The following is a 14,767-nucleotide window of genomic DNA, read 5'->3' on the forward strand; positions in this document are numbered from 1 at the left end:
AACTGCCCCTATGATCCAATCACCTTCCACCGGGCCCCACCTCCAGCACTGAGGATTACATTGCAACATGAGACTTGGATGGGGACACAGATCCAAACCATATCACTAGTGAAGGAAAGTACAGCCCTGAGCTCTATGCATACTGACGTAGAGGAAGAAACTCACCAGGGCAGAGAGATTTCTCAGTTTTTGAGTGCAGGGGCCATACAGTTAGTAGAGAGAAACTTGGGCTTTGGAATCTGAGAAGTGTGTGTTCAAGTGCAGCTTTATCATGACTTGGCTGGATGATCTTGGGCAAGTTGTTTAACCTTTTCAGGTCTTGTTTCTTCATCTGTAAAATGGAGCTAATAATAATATTGCCCATCACATTAGGTTGTTGTAAGAATTAAGTGAGGTAGTAAATTAGAATAATGTGGTACATCAGTATATTAATACATGAGATAATAAATATATGAACGTGACGTGGCTTTCCACAGAGTGAATACATGCTTAGCTAGTGATTGTTAGCCATGCATCTGAGTTGGGGGAGACCCAGCCAGTGGGTGACTCTCTGATCAGGTGTCACTCAGTGCTACAGGTTCCCGGCCAGTGTACCTGTAGTAAAAGGGCAGCGGTGGCATCCATACCTCTTAATCCAAGGCAGCTTTGGCCTCAGTGCCTGTGCAGTCTCCTGACTGGCCAACTAGGCTGGGCCACTTGTCAATGGGGTGGATTCGTTTTTTTGTTTGGTTTTCAGCTCCGAGTTCAAAAGCCTGGGAGACCTGCTGGCTTCTCTCCCAGAGCTGGGCCACATATTGTTAACCTGGGCCCTGGAGGTCTGATCAGTGTCCTGGCTGGATCCAGTGCAGTAAGAGAAGCCAAGGAGAAGACAGTCTTCCAAGGCCTGAAGCAGGTCTGACCTAACTGCCCAATGTAGGAGGTTTGCCCTGGGACAAACTGAGGTCCTGCAGGGTTCGAGGGTGAAAGGCCTCTTCTCCCAGGAGGCAGCCCCAGACCCACCTTGCTGAACTGGCTGCCTGGAAAGGAAGTGAGAGCGAAGATCTCAAAAAAGAGCAGCTCTTTAACCTCTGTGCTGCTCTCACTGAACGCTCCCGCCCTCTGCCCAGGACTTGATGGCTTTGGCCCTGGCCCTGGGGCAGAGCGAAGGGAAAGCGTCAGTGCCCTCTAGGGCCGAGAGTGTGGCACTACAGCAAGTGTGTGGTGGGTGCGGCTGACTTGTGCTCTGTGGCTACTACCCATCCCCATCAGAAACCTGGGCCTGTTTCCTTCTCTGGAATGGTGCTGGGACTTTCCAAACCACGGACCTGTAGTGATGAGAGTTGGTGTCTTGAGTCCGCGTCCACCGTCTGCATGCCATGCCTGCCTTCCCACTGCTGGGGGCCCTCAACCCTCCTCCAGTTCCCGTGTCTAAGACTTAGCAACAAGCATCCTTCCTGTGTGTTGGACTGCGGGTCTGCACCATTGTGAGACACGGTCCTATATTGGGCCCTACCTCTATCGGTGCTCGTTGACCTGACTGGTATCACAGTCCTCATCTGGAACGGGGCCAGCCAAGCTCTGGCCACTCCCTTGTCCTGGGACGAAGGCTCAGCCCCTGAGGCCCGGCGAGTAGTCAAGGCTGGCTCTCTGATGCCTGGCTGCTCTGATGCTGGCATCCTGCATGCACTTCCAGCTCCAGCCTTGTCCTGCTCAAATTACCCCTCATTATTGATCTGGTCCATCTGTTGAGTCACCCTCCAATTTTTTTCTTCCACTTTGTTTAATGCCTGGCACTCAAAAGACAGCCAGTAGAAGTATTTGTTTTTCAAAAAATGGACCCTCATTCATTGGTTGCTGATCCCTAGAATCTGTTGTTTTCATACCTCCTTCACTTGTTAAGATTTTCATCTCCTGCCCTGACTTCAGTGGGTACGTCTGGTTTTAAGCCCCGGTCCTCCTTCTCATAGGATCCATCCTCTGTCAGGTGATTGGAGCTGGCTGATGTTCCAGCTTCTGGATGCTGGAAGCCAGCAGCAGCAGCTGCCTGGGTGACAGCCTCACTGTGTGTTGGCAGGCTTCTCACTCACCTTTTTTAATCAATTGGACCTGAAAATCTTGAAGCTAAACAAACACAGCCCTGCTATTTTGGCACAAGATGAAGGCCAGTTTTAAGTGGTCTATAAAAGCTGTGAAAAAAACTTTTAAAAGAGAATTATATCCAGGGCACCCAAGCTGCTTCCAGATGCCAGAGGCAGCCCTGCATTTAATAATATGCTTGCTGGAATCCCTTTAAAATGGTAGATGTTGGCCATCTTTTTCTTTTTTCTTTGCATTCCCAATGGAAGGACTTCCAATGTATGGCCCTGGTATTATTCCCTGTATGTTTTAGAGAAGCTCTAAATTCCTGTAGCCGTCAAACTTGGGTTTTTCACTCAGACTGCATGTTAGGATCATCTGGGGAAATTTAAAAATACTGGTACCCAGGCAGCACCAAATTCCTTCGGTCAGAATCTCTAGGGATTTTTCCTGAATATAGGAACCTTCATAAACAGTTTCCAGGTGGTTTTAATGTCCTGTGAGGGCTGGAACCACCGTACCAGTGAGAGGAGAGCTGGCCTGCCCTGCTCACTGCTGGCAGATGGACTCTTGAGTCACATCTTTGCACACCCAGAAGCTCCAGGCCCACCGTGTACCATGGCTAAGTAGCTGCAACTGCAACCTGGCCTTGGCCTGGAAGCACATCTTGTAGGATCACTGATGTTACTCTCCCCTGGCCTTCCCCTTGTCCTGGAAGATGTGCCTAAGGCTGAGAGACTTCATTGTTTAATTCATCTAGCTGTCTGTTCTGAGAGCCCCCAGCTAAACTGAGGTTCCAGTCCCAGAACAGCTAGCAAACCGCCCTAAGGGGAAATGAAGGGGAGATGGACATGGTATTTACTGCGTGCCTTTCATAGGATGCTGCTTTTACCTGGTAGATGGCCCAATGCCTAGTTGTCTGACCTGTGACCAGGGGCTCCTCGCCTGGGAAACTTGTTTATATGTCTTTGTGGCTCTTGCCTTTCCTGTGTTCAGTTTATGCCCCCCTGCCCATTGCTCTGGCGCTGGGAGCCAAACCTTGTGCTCTCTTGGGCATCCCAGGTAAAACCTGGCCTGGGGCATCCCCTGGTCTTCAGATGGAAGGTGCAAAGGCAATATACACCACAGTAGGAAACAAATTCAAAAAGTGTAATTTACGGATCCTGGGCAGGGAGGGCACAGAGAGTCGGGAGGGCAGTCCTTTGTCCCTGGGCCACTCCAGATAGGAATGAAGCATCATGCAGAGAGAGAGAAACAAGGCACATGGCAACTGGCAGTGTGTATAGGGAGTAGGGTCTGGGCCACTGTAAGTTTTCAGGCAAATGTGTGAATGGCCTGTTTAAAGGAAGCAATGGGGAAGCAGGGAGCCCAGTCTGCTAGTCAGGGGAGATGTCTCTCAGTTTTTATCTCTCGCCACTGGCTTGAGCCATTGGGTGTGGTTTCCTTCTAATGCCTGGGCAGCTGTGTCATTCCCGTTACAGTCACCACATGATTCTAATTGCCTTAGAATTTATAGGAACCAGTTGGCAGCCCAACAAGTGGGCTCCTCTGGCCAGTGAGGGAGCCTGGTGAGGGAATCTTCCCAGGACAGGCAGAGACATCTGCCTGGTTCTTAGATTGGCCATCTTTGGTCTCACCTCAGTTTGGATATATTTTTTTTTTATCTCACCTGCCCCCTTGTTATCTGCTTCCAAGAAGCAAACAGCTCAAATAATTATTTATTTTAAAATAACATAAGAGGATGTCTCTGATACTCCAAAAGCCTTTTTTTTTTGAAAAAAAAAAAAAAAGGATGGTTCTATCCAATTTGGCATTTCATTTATAGAGAATAAAAACTATCTATACCCAAAATGTATTCATTGCACACAATTGTATTTTAATGGCAGCTGGAAATCTTCTCTCCTAACTGATGCTTTTGGGGAAAATAAGAACATTTGGACAATAAACTAGATTTTCTAGATAAACACAAAATGGGTGAATTTCACACATCCAATAATGAAAGTAGTTTTTTCCTTAAATTAGAAACAAGGATTTAAATTTCCGTCTTCTTCTGAATGAATATTTGGCACCCAACCAAGAAATATATATCATTTTAAATTTTCTTGAGGAAATATCCTTTTCTTGCATAATTAATTTAAAGGAAATTAAATTGACCATGTCAATTGTCAAACAAGGAAAAGTAAGAATTTTGCTTATTTGTTATTAATTTTATTTACAATAGTATTTAAAGGTAACTTTGTAAAATAACCCCTAATGATATAATCTAAAATAAAATAGATTGTATTTAAATCACTTTTTTATTATATACCACGAAAAACTACTGAATGATTAAAACATTCTTAAGTGGGTTCTTAACATTGTATGGAACTGGAAAGAGCAGTTCAGATCACAGAGGCATGGGCACTGTGTTCTAAGTGGTCACTGCACTGATTCAGAACAGCAGGGGCTGGCTCTGTACTGGGTGGGTGGGTGCTCAAGGCCAGACCTACACAGTGCTCCTGTGTCTGCAGCTGCAGGGAAGCAGGAGAAACAGTGACGATGGTCCAGGAGAGGCCACCTGACATATGGCAGAAAAACAAAATTCAGGGTACAGACAGTGGCTGGGAGCATCAACTCAATCGCTTTCTTTCTTTACTATTTTCCCTCTTTCTAAAAAAGTCTGTGATTTAGATCAGTGGCTGCAGGAGGGAGACAAGAGACCCAGTAAAGATGTTTTCAAAGATGATGCCTATCTGGTGTGAAAAGAAATGAAGACCTACCCAAAGAGAATAAGCACAAGCTATTATGCAGAGCTTGCTACAGCAAGGGAGTCAGACACCATCATTTGCAATTTGGCAGAGACTCAAAGGTGGGCAGACGAGTGGGAGAGCTTTATAGTGGAAAAAGGCGAAGGCTTCAGGTGTGCCCTGATTGGAGGTTATCAATGCGGGGAAGCTGGAGGCGGCTCACTAGAAGCGAACATCCTGTGTGCTTGGTCAGGGGACCATATTTGGCTTTCTCTGGTGGGTCCTAAGTTGGAATCGGGGACAAAAATTAGGGAAGCCATCAGTTATTAATCCAGTCCTGAACATTTTGAGTCAATTGTTACAGAAGTTATTATTTAGCTTCCTGGATAGTTACTAGAGAGCAATTTGGCTTCCAGCAGGTCTGATTTAGAGCAGGCCAGCTTCCGGGGTTGCTTTTTGTGGGTAAGGGTATTGTTTTCTGGGAAAGTTGCTGCACCTTGTGGATCAGAGTTCCATCTTTTGCTATGGCCTGGCTGTTGTCCGATTGTATATTTAGTCAGTCACCAGGCACCACATTTTCTCAAGCTGTTGGAAAGTTCTGTGTGTCCAGTGTTATCTTCCCCTTGTATTCTATGAAATATATGGCTGTCTGAAATGTTTGATGTGCAAAGCCAGCCATGGGGCTCTGCTCACAGCAAATGCTTTTGGCTATCTCAGGAAGTCATGGTGACTGGAAGAAATGCACAACCCTGACAGAAAATGGCAAATTCTAGCTGAAGGGACCTCCAGGGAGAAGGGGGTTGGGGAGGGGAGCAGTTGGCTGGGGCTTCTTGGCCGCCTCCATTGCCCTTTGGTTCAGCCAGCCCAGGCTCACAGCAGATATCCTTGACCTCGCCAAGGGAAGGCTCTGAAAGACAAAGGTAGATCTTGATCTTGCTTAACTGTGCACTTGAGCTTGCAGTTCCTTGAAAGATCTGGTGTCACGCAAGACAAATTATACAGCAGTCTACTATTTCTGGAGTTTGATCATTCTCAGCACTGGCTTTATTTCTTTTTTTCCACTAAAGAAGTATAGTTCAAATGTGGATAGGTGAAAGTAGATAATCTTAGGAGGATCGTTACAAACTGAAATGTCCATGAGTTCAGGAAAGTGCCATGTGTGTGAGGGGTACCCCAGGTGAGAGGCCTGAGGATTGGGCAGGTGAAAGGGACCATGTGGGCACAGGATTCATCCCCCTCACCATGTGCTTTCTCACTTTAGTGATGATTTCTACCCAGGTGTTGACTAAGTCACTTATTGACATGAGATCAGAAGAAACAAGTTCAAGTTCAGCAATCTCGCATGGGATCTTAGAACTCTGAAACTCTGTGACCTTCACAAGGTTACCTCTGGGTCTAGATTTTTTAACTGGAAATCAAGGACAATCATTAAGAGACTCCCCTTCCTGGATTGTTGGGAAGATTAAATGATACAATCCAAGTAATGAGAGCATTGTAGTCTCTAAAATTGGATTCTCAAATAATGACCTCAGGTGAAGGAAGAACTGTTCAAAATGCCCCAGGTGCTATGAAGTACAGAGGGCAGGTATTTTTTTTAAGGGATGGGGTCTTGCTCTGTTGCTCAGGCTACAGTGCAGTGGTATGATCATGACTCACTGCCACCTCAAGCTCCTGGGCTCAAGTGATCTTCTCACCTCAGCCTCCCAAGTAGCTAGGACTAAAGGTGCATACCACCATGCCTGGCTAATTTTTTAATTTTTTTGTAGAGATGGGGGTCTTGCTATGTTGCCCAGGCTGGTCTCCAACTCCTCAAGCAACCTTCCCATCTTGGCTTGCCAAAGTGCTGGGCTTACAGGTATGAGCCACCACACCTGGCTGATATTTGAATTCAGAGATGCTGAGGATAAGTAATGTTGGAACAGAGTGGGTAAAGTCAGCTTCAGCATAAATTGTGTTTATTTAATTTAAACACAATTTAAATTTTGTGTTTTGGCTATCTCAGGAAGTCATGGTGACTGGAAGAAATGCACAACCCTGACAGAAAATGGCAAATTCTAGCTGAATTTTAAATTGTGTTATTTGCGGAATAAAATATGTGGACAAGTGCTTTAAAAAACCTATGAGAATACCCAGGTTTCATTCCCTTGTTGAAGAGCAGGCGGGCACAGGCATATTGGGATGCCATAGGTGGCATATTCTTCTCCACACACATCCTCCTTGGCATTTAGAAAGGGCCTGTGAAAGTTATGAAGATTCAGGTCACAGATCTCTGATGGGACTTTCTTCAGGTATCAGCATTGACTTTCCAAATTTTCATCACTGAGCTCCTGACCAATTTCAGCAGTCAGAGAGGTCTGCATCAAGCAAGGTCTTGGTCTAAGCCTCATGGGATTAGATCTGAGGTCAAAATGCCTATAAAGTATTGATCAAGGGCATTGTAGCATTTTCTCATGGCTTGGGTCTTGATATGAATGGTCTCTTTGGGAATTCACACTCACTCTGCTCTTTTAAAATGTTCACTTTTATCACTGTGCATTTTCCCAAGCCTTATCCCTCAGGATCAAAGAAAGGGCCTAGGCTTTAATTAATGATCTCTCCTATGTTTTACCAAGGGCACTGGTCTCTCGAGCTTGCAGTGGGTTGCAAGGGATTAGAGGGTGTATTTGCAGCAAAACTTCTGTACCGGCACTCGCTCTGTATATATAGTCTCTTCCAATCTGCTTTTAGAGATCTTTTCTTTCTGACTGTTTGCAGGAGGACATGGCACGCTGTGGCATATTCTGCCTGATGTCTCTGGAGGCATAGTTGGTGCCCATCCCACTTTTTATTAACTCTCTTGGTTGAAAACACAGCCCAGAAGACATGTTGGGACTTCATAAGCACAGCCTAAGGAGGAACATTGGAAGGTACAACATTGTACATGTGGCCACCCTGCCCCAACGCAGTCACACCTCTGTGCTGGTCCTCCTGCGAGCTCCCCAGAGCATGGGGTCCCTTGAGGTTCTTTGTGGCATGCGGTAGGGGGCTCGATCCTCAGCTTCCTTGACTTGGCCATTGTTCAGGATGGAAATTACCGATCCGGGAAAAGTTTTATTTGAGGTTACTGTTTACAGCTTGAAGCTCATGGAAGTGCAGTCTGCTCTCCTGTGGACTTTGTGGGTTTTTCCTAAATGGGTCCAACCCATCAGCTTGGCATTTGGGGCACTATTGTTTTGAAGCAACTTCCTTGTGAGTTTAGTCTCACCTCCTACCCCTTGCCCATTGCTCTCTAACCTGGGTTCCTGTTTCTTCTTTTGGGACTCTTATATTCTTCCCTCCTGAAATCTGCCTCAGTCTCTCCTTCTGGAATAATCTCTCTTCTCCTCTGACCTCTCCTAGTATTTGTTTTTTCTTTGGAAGGCACCTTATCCCCTTTATTTTATGGTAACTTCCTGGAGAGCAGGAGCAGTACTTGTTCTCTTTTGTGCTTGTCATGTTGCTTAAAACACATGAGTGTTTTAAGCAGTGAGAGACAAACACATGAGTCTCAATAGGGTCTTTATCCAATCATGGCATTGGAAACTATGGACTTCAGTGACAGATGTTATGTGCTAGGTTTCAGAATGCCTTTAAGGTGGGAAAACATTTTGTATCATTTTCAACATTTGTATCAGTTTGAAATCTGCCTGCTAAGTAACAATAAAAAAGTTAGCAACATAATTTATGTTTAAAAGGAAGTGTTCTGGGGTGATGTTCGAGTTGGAAACTTGCCCTATGCTTTACTGCATTGTGATCTTCAGCAAGATATTTTAGTTCTCCAGATTTCCGCTTTCCCAGCTGTAAAAGGAGACAACAATATGAATTTCAGTGAACATAAAAAGCACCCATTATTTTATACATTGCAAAGAAAGAAAAATTGCTGTCAATTAAGCAGTAACAGTGCTTTCTATGGTTTAGAATTTTTATCTTATACTTAACTGATATAGCTCTTTTAGATGTATTTAGGCTTTTGAAAAATCACATATCACTCATTAAAAAGGAAAATAAATTGGTTAAGGTTTTCCTTGGCATCTTCTTCTTCATTCTGAGTCTTCCGAAACACATTTGGACTCAATGTTGTCGAGGTTTGTGTTTCCCCACACGTCATCATCCTGTGAACCATTGAAGTTGATGGGAGGCAACTTTTTCTCCCCCAAGAATAAAGAGTTTTCTGTAGGATTGTCTGCCAAACTGCTAACACCTTTCTTCAAGTTTTGAATGCTGGTGCTTTCCCAGTCTTACAAATCCACATCAACACAAGATTTTCAGGCAACAGCCAGTACGCAGATGGTCCTAAAATAGTTTGTACATTGAAACACCAGGGGGTTGCAGATGGTCAGCCAGGCCAGGGAAAATAATCCAGTTATAACCACTGCATCCTGACCACTTCCTGGCTGATGGTGATTGTAGGACACATCCCTGTTTCAGAGATGTTAAAATGTAAAATAATAATAATAATAATAATAATAATAATAATAATAATAATATAAGATATAACCTGTTTCCTAAAGTTGTGATGACATTTAAAGGTGAGAAAGTTTGTAGCTATTATTGTGATTATGGTTACTATAAATTCTGAGAAAACACAGTGGGGTTTTCTAATTAACACTAACTAATTTATGGGACACTCATTAATGTTATATATTTATTTATTGTTCAATGTTCATGCTTAAAAATTTCTTAATTTTTCCTCTTTTTAATTGAGGTATGGTTTATATTCAGTGGAATGCACAGGTCTTAAGTGTTTACAGTTCTTGAATTTTGACACCTGTGTTACGAACAGCCCTACCAAGAGATAGAACAGTCTCATCACTCAAGAAACAACACCCTATCTTGTCCCAGTCATCATCGTCCCTCCTCTGTTCTGATATCTTCTACCATGGATTAATTTTGGCTGTTCTAGAACTTAATGGAATCATGTGGCACTACTCTTTTGCATCTTTTCTAAAGACATGTACATGTTGGCTGGGCGCGGTGGCTCACGCCTGTAATCCCAGCACTTTGGAAGGCTGAGGTGGGTGGATCACGAGGTCAGGAGTTTGAGAACAGTCTGGCCAACATGGTGAAACCCCGGCTCTACTAAAAAATACAAAAATTAACTGGGCGTGGTGGTGGGCACTTGTAATCCTAGCTACTTGGGAGGCTGAGGCAGGAGAATAGTTTCAAACTGGAAGGTGGAGGTTGCAGTGAGCTGAGATCGTACCACTGCACTCCAGCCTGGGCAACAAGAACAAAACTCTGTCTCAAAAAAAAAAAAAAGAAAGAAAGAAAAAGACACATACATGTTGCTGCATGTATGACGAGTTTGTTTCTTTTTATTGCTGAGTAGTCTTTCATTGCATAGCTATAGTATTATTTTTGCATCTTCCTGCTGATGGATATTTAGGTTGCTTCCAGTATGGGGCTGGCTCTCAGGCATAAGACACTGTGACCATTTATTTGAGTGCAAATATTTTTGATGACATGTTTTCATTTCTTTTGTGTAAATGCCTGGAAGTAGAATTGTTGGATTAAAGGGTAGGTATACATTGAACTTTATGAGAAACTGGCAGAACTTTTCTTGAAGGGACCATTTTACATGCGTGAGAGTTCCAGTTGCTCCATACCCTTGTGAATGTTGACATTTTTAGTTGAGTTAATTTGAAACATTTGAGTGGGCTTGTAGTGGAATATTTATGGTTTTAATTTTTCTTTTCTTAATGATTAATGATGTCAAATGTTTTTTCATATGCTTATTAGCCATTTGTGCGTCTACTTTGTAAAATGCCTGTTAAGTCATTTGACCATTTTTCAATGGCACCATTTGTGTTTTAATTGTCAAGTTGTAGTATTCAATTCCTTGTCAGTTAAACATAATGCAATGATTTTCTCCAAGTCTGTGACTTGTCGTCTCATTTTTTAGTTGTGTCTTTTGATGAGAAGTTTTTAATTTTGATAAAGCCCATTTATCCTTTTTAAAATAGTGTTTTCTGTATCTTATCTGAAGTTCTTGCCTACTCCAAAGTCAATCAAATATTCATTTTTTTTTTGTAGAAGCTTTATAGTTTTAACTTTTACATGTAGGCCTGTGATCCACCTTTAATTAAATTTTTGTGTGGTTTGAGGTATGAATCAAGGTTAATATTTTTTCCATGTAGATAGCTAGTTGTTCCAGCACCATTTATTGAAAATACTTTCTTTTCCTCATTGACTTGCTTTGGCACTTTGGTTGGCTGTATATGTGTTAATCCACTCCTGGACTGTTTATTCTATTCCATCGATCTGTTTGTCTATGTATATTCAATGCCATATTACCTTGATTTATAGTGGCTTTAGCATTAGTCTTGAAACCAAGACTCACTTTTTAAGGATTGCTTTGGTCATCCTCCTCCTCCTCTTCCTTCTTCTTCTTTCTTCCTATTCTTCTTCATTCTTCTTCGTCTTCTCCTTCCTTCCCTCCCTCCCTCTTTCACCTCCTCCTCCTCCTTCTTCTTCTTTCTCCCTCTCCTTCTTTGAGGTGGGGACTTGCTATGTTGCCCAGACAAGAGTGTAGTGCCTGTTCAAAAGTGCAATCATAGTGCACTACAGCCTCAAACTCATGGGCTCATTCTTCTAGATTTTATTTGTTTAGATATGAAGTCTCACTCTGTTGCTCAAGCTGGAGTGCAGTGGCAGGATCTCAGCTCGCTGCAACCTACACCTCCTGGGTTTAAGTGATTCTCCTGCCTCAGCCTCTTGAGTAGCTGGGATTACAGGTGCTTACCACTGTGCCAGATTAATTTTTATATTTTTAGTAGAGATAGGGTTTCGCCATGTTGGCCAGGCTGGTCTTGAACACCTGACCTCAAGGGACCCACCACCTCGGCCTCCCAAAATGCTGGGATTACAGGTGTGAGCCACCATGCCCAGCTCACTCTTAGACGTTTTAGAATAAGCACATAAATTTCTACAAAAGAACCTCATAACATTTTGATTGGAATTATATTAAATCAATGAATCAATGTGGGGAAAATTGAAATCTTACCAATATTGAACTTCCAGTGTATGTATACAGTGTATCTTTTAAATTATTTGTCTTTAATTTGTCTCAGCAGTTTTTGAAAAATAGTTTTCACTGTAGAGCTCTTGCACATATTTAAAGAAAGTATCCCTCAGTATTATGAGATTTAAAATATTTTGTAAATTGTATTTTTTAAAAAATCATCTTCTAGTTTTTTGTTATTTAGACATAAGATTGATGTTTGTACATTGACCTTGTATCCTGCAATCTTGCTACATTTAATTTATCATATATTTTTCTCAGTGCTTTACAGAATTTCTTGTTTATTCTTGTAACTACCTATGAGTCAGGTGTTATTGCAATTATATTTTATAAGAAATTTGCCCCAGATGTGCTAATTTTCTTGCTCCAGGTCACACAGTTTGAGTAACAGGGGAGGAATTTAATTTAGGTCAACTCTGATTATATGGCCCAGTCCCCTTCCACACTGCTATAATATGTCATCTCTTTGACATTTGTATATTATTGGAATGGAGTGACACATTGTGGTTTCTCTGGATTCCACTGGGACATTTTTGGGTCATCATACTTTACGGGAGATGGCTTCACCAATGGAACTCCTAAAATGGACATAACAAGAATAAGGTGATAAAAAAGACGGTGATTTTTCCAGTTTAAGGAGAGCAATATTTTTCCAGGTTCTTTCCCCAGAGGACTGCTAAGGAAATTGTACATAATCTCAAAGTGCAGTTTCTTTGCCCATGCTGTGAATGTACATTAGCTGCTGCTAGATCTTCCATGTGTGTGGATGCTGTAAAGCTTGTTTTCCCTTCTTCTCTCCCACAACGTGCTGTAGGAAACCATTTCTGGACGGCTAAAGACCTCACCGAGGAGATTAGATCATTAACATCAGAGAGAGAAGGGCTGGAGGGACTCCTCAGCAAGCTGTTGGTGTTGAGTTCCAGGAATGTCAAAAAGCTGGGAAGTGTTAAAGAAGATTACAACAGACTGAGAAGAGAAGTGGAGCACCAGGAGACTGCCTATGGTAGGTAGTGCACAACTGTTCCCCGGCAAGATATTGATGATATTTGTTGTGTTTTGTGGCCAGGCAGAATGTTCTGTGCCTTATGTGAACGTCACTGTGAAGAGCGTCATGGAGCACATGGCCCTTTTCCTTGGGGACATTTTTGGCAGGTGCCTTGGCAAACCGAATGGAATTACTTGTCAGCTTTTGTTTTCATATTCACATGTGACATCTTTTCTTTTTCTGTTCCCTGTCTCAACCTGTGTTTGCTAATAGCCTTGTTATTATTTAGAGCAGTCTCTCCCTTGGCAAGGTCTTGAGCATTTTCTTTGTGTGACAATTATCTTCCTTTTGTCCCTTGGCTCCGTCTCCTTGTCTGCACAATCATAGACTAAATCAGGCTGATCTGAGAAAATTGAGGGAAGACCATAAAGTGGCTCTTCTATGTGTGGACTTTTCTGAGAGCTTCTTTCCCCAGGAAGGATGATGTAGAAGATGTGAATGCCGCCTTAGCCAAAGTGTCTGCTTGTCAGAGGAGTTCAAGTGTTCCTGTGTTCTTTCCTTTTCCAGTCGTTAGGAGTAACTGAGCTTACTCTGAGATTTGCACCCAGAGGGATGGTCTCAGAAGACGCTGGTTCAGTGCAAATTGAGATGGTAAAAACTTATTTCTTAAAAAATGGTTCCTAAATAAATGTCATTTACTAAAACAAATGAAAGAAATATATATATGAATAAATGGCTATATTTTACAAAGTATGCTTATTTAAGAAGAAATAAGAAAAAACGGGGCTGATAGGAACCAGATTTGAAATAGGGCTTTTGTAAATACTCCGTAAATTGAAGTAAATGAAGAGTAGTATTTATAAGCTAGATTGAGAAATATAAAATCAGCTAGCTGAAGTTAAGTGCATCAATTTGGGATGAATAAATTTTCTTTTAAAATGTCTATCAATTTGTGTAGAGAGAGGTTTCTTCATAGAGATATTAGAATCAAAGAGTATGTTCAGTAGTTATTCTGTCTTCTTTGTAATGAATACCCTTAAGTTGGCTTAACAGCTCAGTACTTATCTTTTTTTCTTTTCATTCTTAAAGGTCAAGCCTTGTTTTTGCCGTATATGTAACTAGAGACAGTACGTTTGAGGCTAAATAACTGTAGTACTAGGGAATGACAACACGCTCACCCAAGACACCGCAGCCTGGTTTACTCTGTCATGATAGGAATGAGGATTGTACATTTGAAATAGGTTTCTGCTATTGATTTTTTAAATGTATAAACGATGGAAACTACGGAATTTCTCATGTTTTCACCACATAGTTTTTTGTCATAAAATGAAGAATATATTATATCCAAGAATGAAGAGGAAGTGAACAAATTTGAGCAAATTTAGTCCAGCAATATTTTCATTTGAATAGTTGAGCCCCTGAAAGCCATTAATATCTCTTTTTAAAAAAAGAACCATGCAGTATTTTTGAATCTCATCATCGTCACTTCACTAAGTATTTTCACAATGATGAATAAAACATAAACAAATGGAATGAGAGATTGTTACCATGGATGATTCTAAATTGCAGATGGCTCATTACTGTTGTGAAGCCTCTCTTTATGTTTTTACACTTGGATTTTGCTGGATCAGCCACCCTTTCCCTATACATTGATTTACACGTGCTTAATTTTTTTTAACCAATTTGAGGTGAGTTGGCTTTAGGTGAACCAAATTAATAATCTAGGGTTGAGAGTGTGGGAAACAAATAAATAATGAATTCCTGAATACATTGAAGCTTTTATTTATTAAAATGTGATAAAACTGGGGCAAAGTCCATATTCAGCTTTTTTTGTGTTTTGAGGGTTAAAAATTCAGAGGGAGCTCTGTGTTCAAGTTTAAATGTAGAGAAAGTACAAAGGAGAGTGTACTTATGCACATACACATATGCATGCATGTACCATGACTCTTTTTAGCCTTAGAG

General features: G+C 42.0%; 1 protein-coding gene and 3 long non-coding RNA genes across 26 annotated transcripts in view; 2 read left to right on the top strand and 2 right to left on the bottom strand.

The window, feature by feature from the left end:
• Positions 1–14,767, top strand: part of TSNAX-DISC1 (TSNAX-DISC1 readthrough (NMD candidate)) — a 512,620-nt gene that overhangs the window by 277,042 nt on the left and 220,811 nt on the right. For 5 of the 6 annotated variants that reach the window (NR_028394.1, NR_028395.1, NR_028397.1 and 2 more), the window contains one exon: positions 12,635–13,550. This is a non-coding gene — a long non-coding RNA (TSNAX-DISC1 readthrough (NMD candidate)). Of the gene's footprint in view, positions 1–12,634; positions 13,551–14,767 lie in introns of those variants that run through there. The other variant, NR_028393.1, reaches the window with a different exon arrangement.
• DISC1 (DISC1 scaffold protein) overlaps positions 1–14,767 on the top strand; it is a 414,483-nt gene that overhangs the window by 178,905 nt on the left and 220,811 nt on the right. For 9 of the 15 annotated variants that reach the window (NM_001164537.2, NM_018662.3, NM_001012957.2 and 6 more), the window contains one exon: positions 12,635–12,823. The exons of 2 other annotated variants lie outside the window; for them this stretch is intronic. In NM_001164537.2, the coding sequence (NP_001158009.1) occupies positions 12,635–12,823 (189 nt within the window). Of the gene's footprint in view, positions 1–12,634; positions 13,514–14,767 lie in introns of those variants that run through there. 4 more of the 15 variants (NM_001164544.2, NM_001164545.2, NM_001164548.2 and 1 more) reach the window with 1 other exon arrangement.
• The window catches only part of LOC105373170 (uncharacterized), a 42,129-nt gene that overhangs the window by 120 nt on the left and 27,242 nt on the right, over positions 1–14,767 (bottom strand). For 3 of the 4 annotated variants that reach the window (XR_949269.3, XR_007066940.1, XR_001738521.2), the window contains one exon: positions 3,909–8,597. This is a non-coding gene — a long non-coding RNA (uncharacterized LOC105373170). Of the gene's footprint in view, positions 1–23; positions 8,598–14,767 lie in introns of those variants that run through there. The other variant, XR_949268.4, reaches the window with a different exon arrangement.
• On the bottom strand, positions 8,932–12,823 carry DISC2 (disrupted in schizophrenia 2). The gene has a single exon (NR_002227.2). It is a non-coding gene; the product is annotated as a disrupted in schizophrenia 2 (long non-coding RNA).

Source organism: Homo sapiens, chromosome 1 (assembly GCF_000001405.40).
Source record: "Homo sapiens chromosome 1, GRCh38.p14 Primary Assembly".
In the NCBI taxonomy this organism is placed as follows: domain Eukaryota; kingdom Metazoa; phylum Chordata; class Mammalia; order Primates; family Hominidae; genus Homo; species Homo sapiens.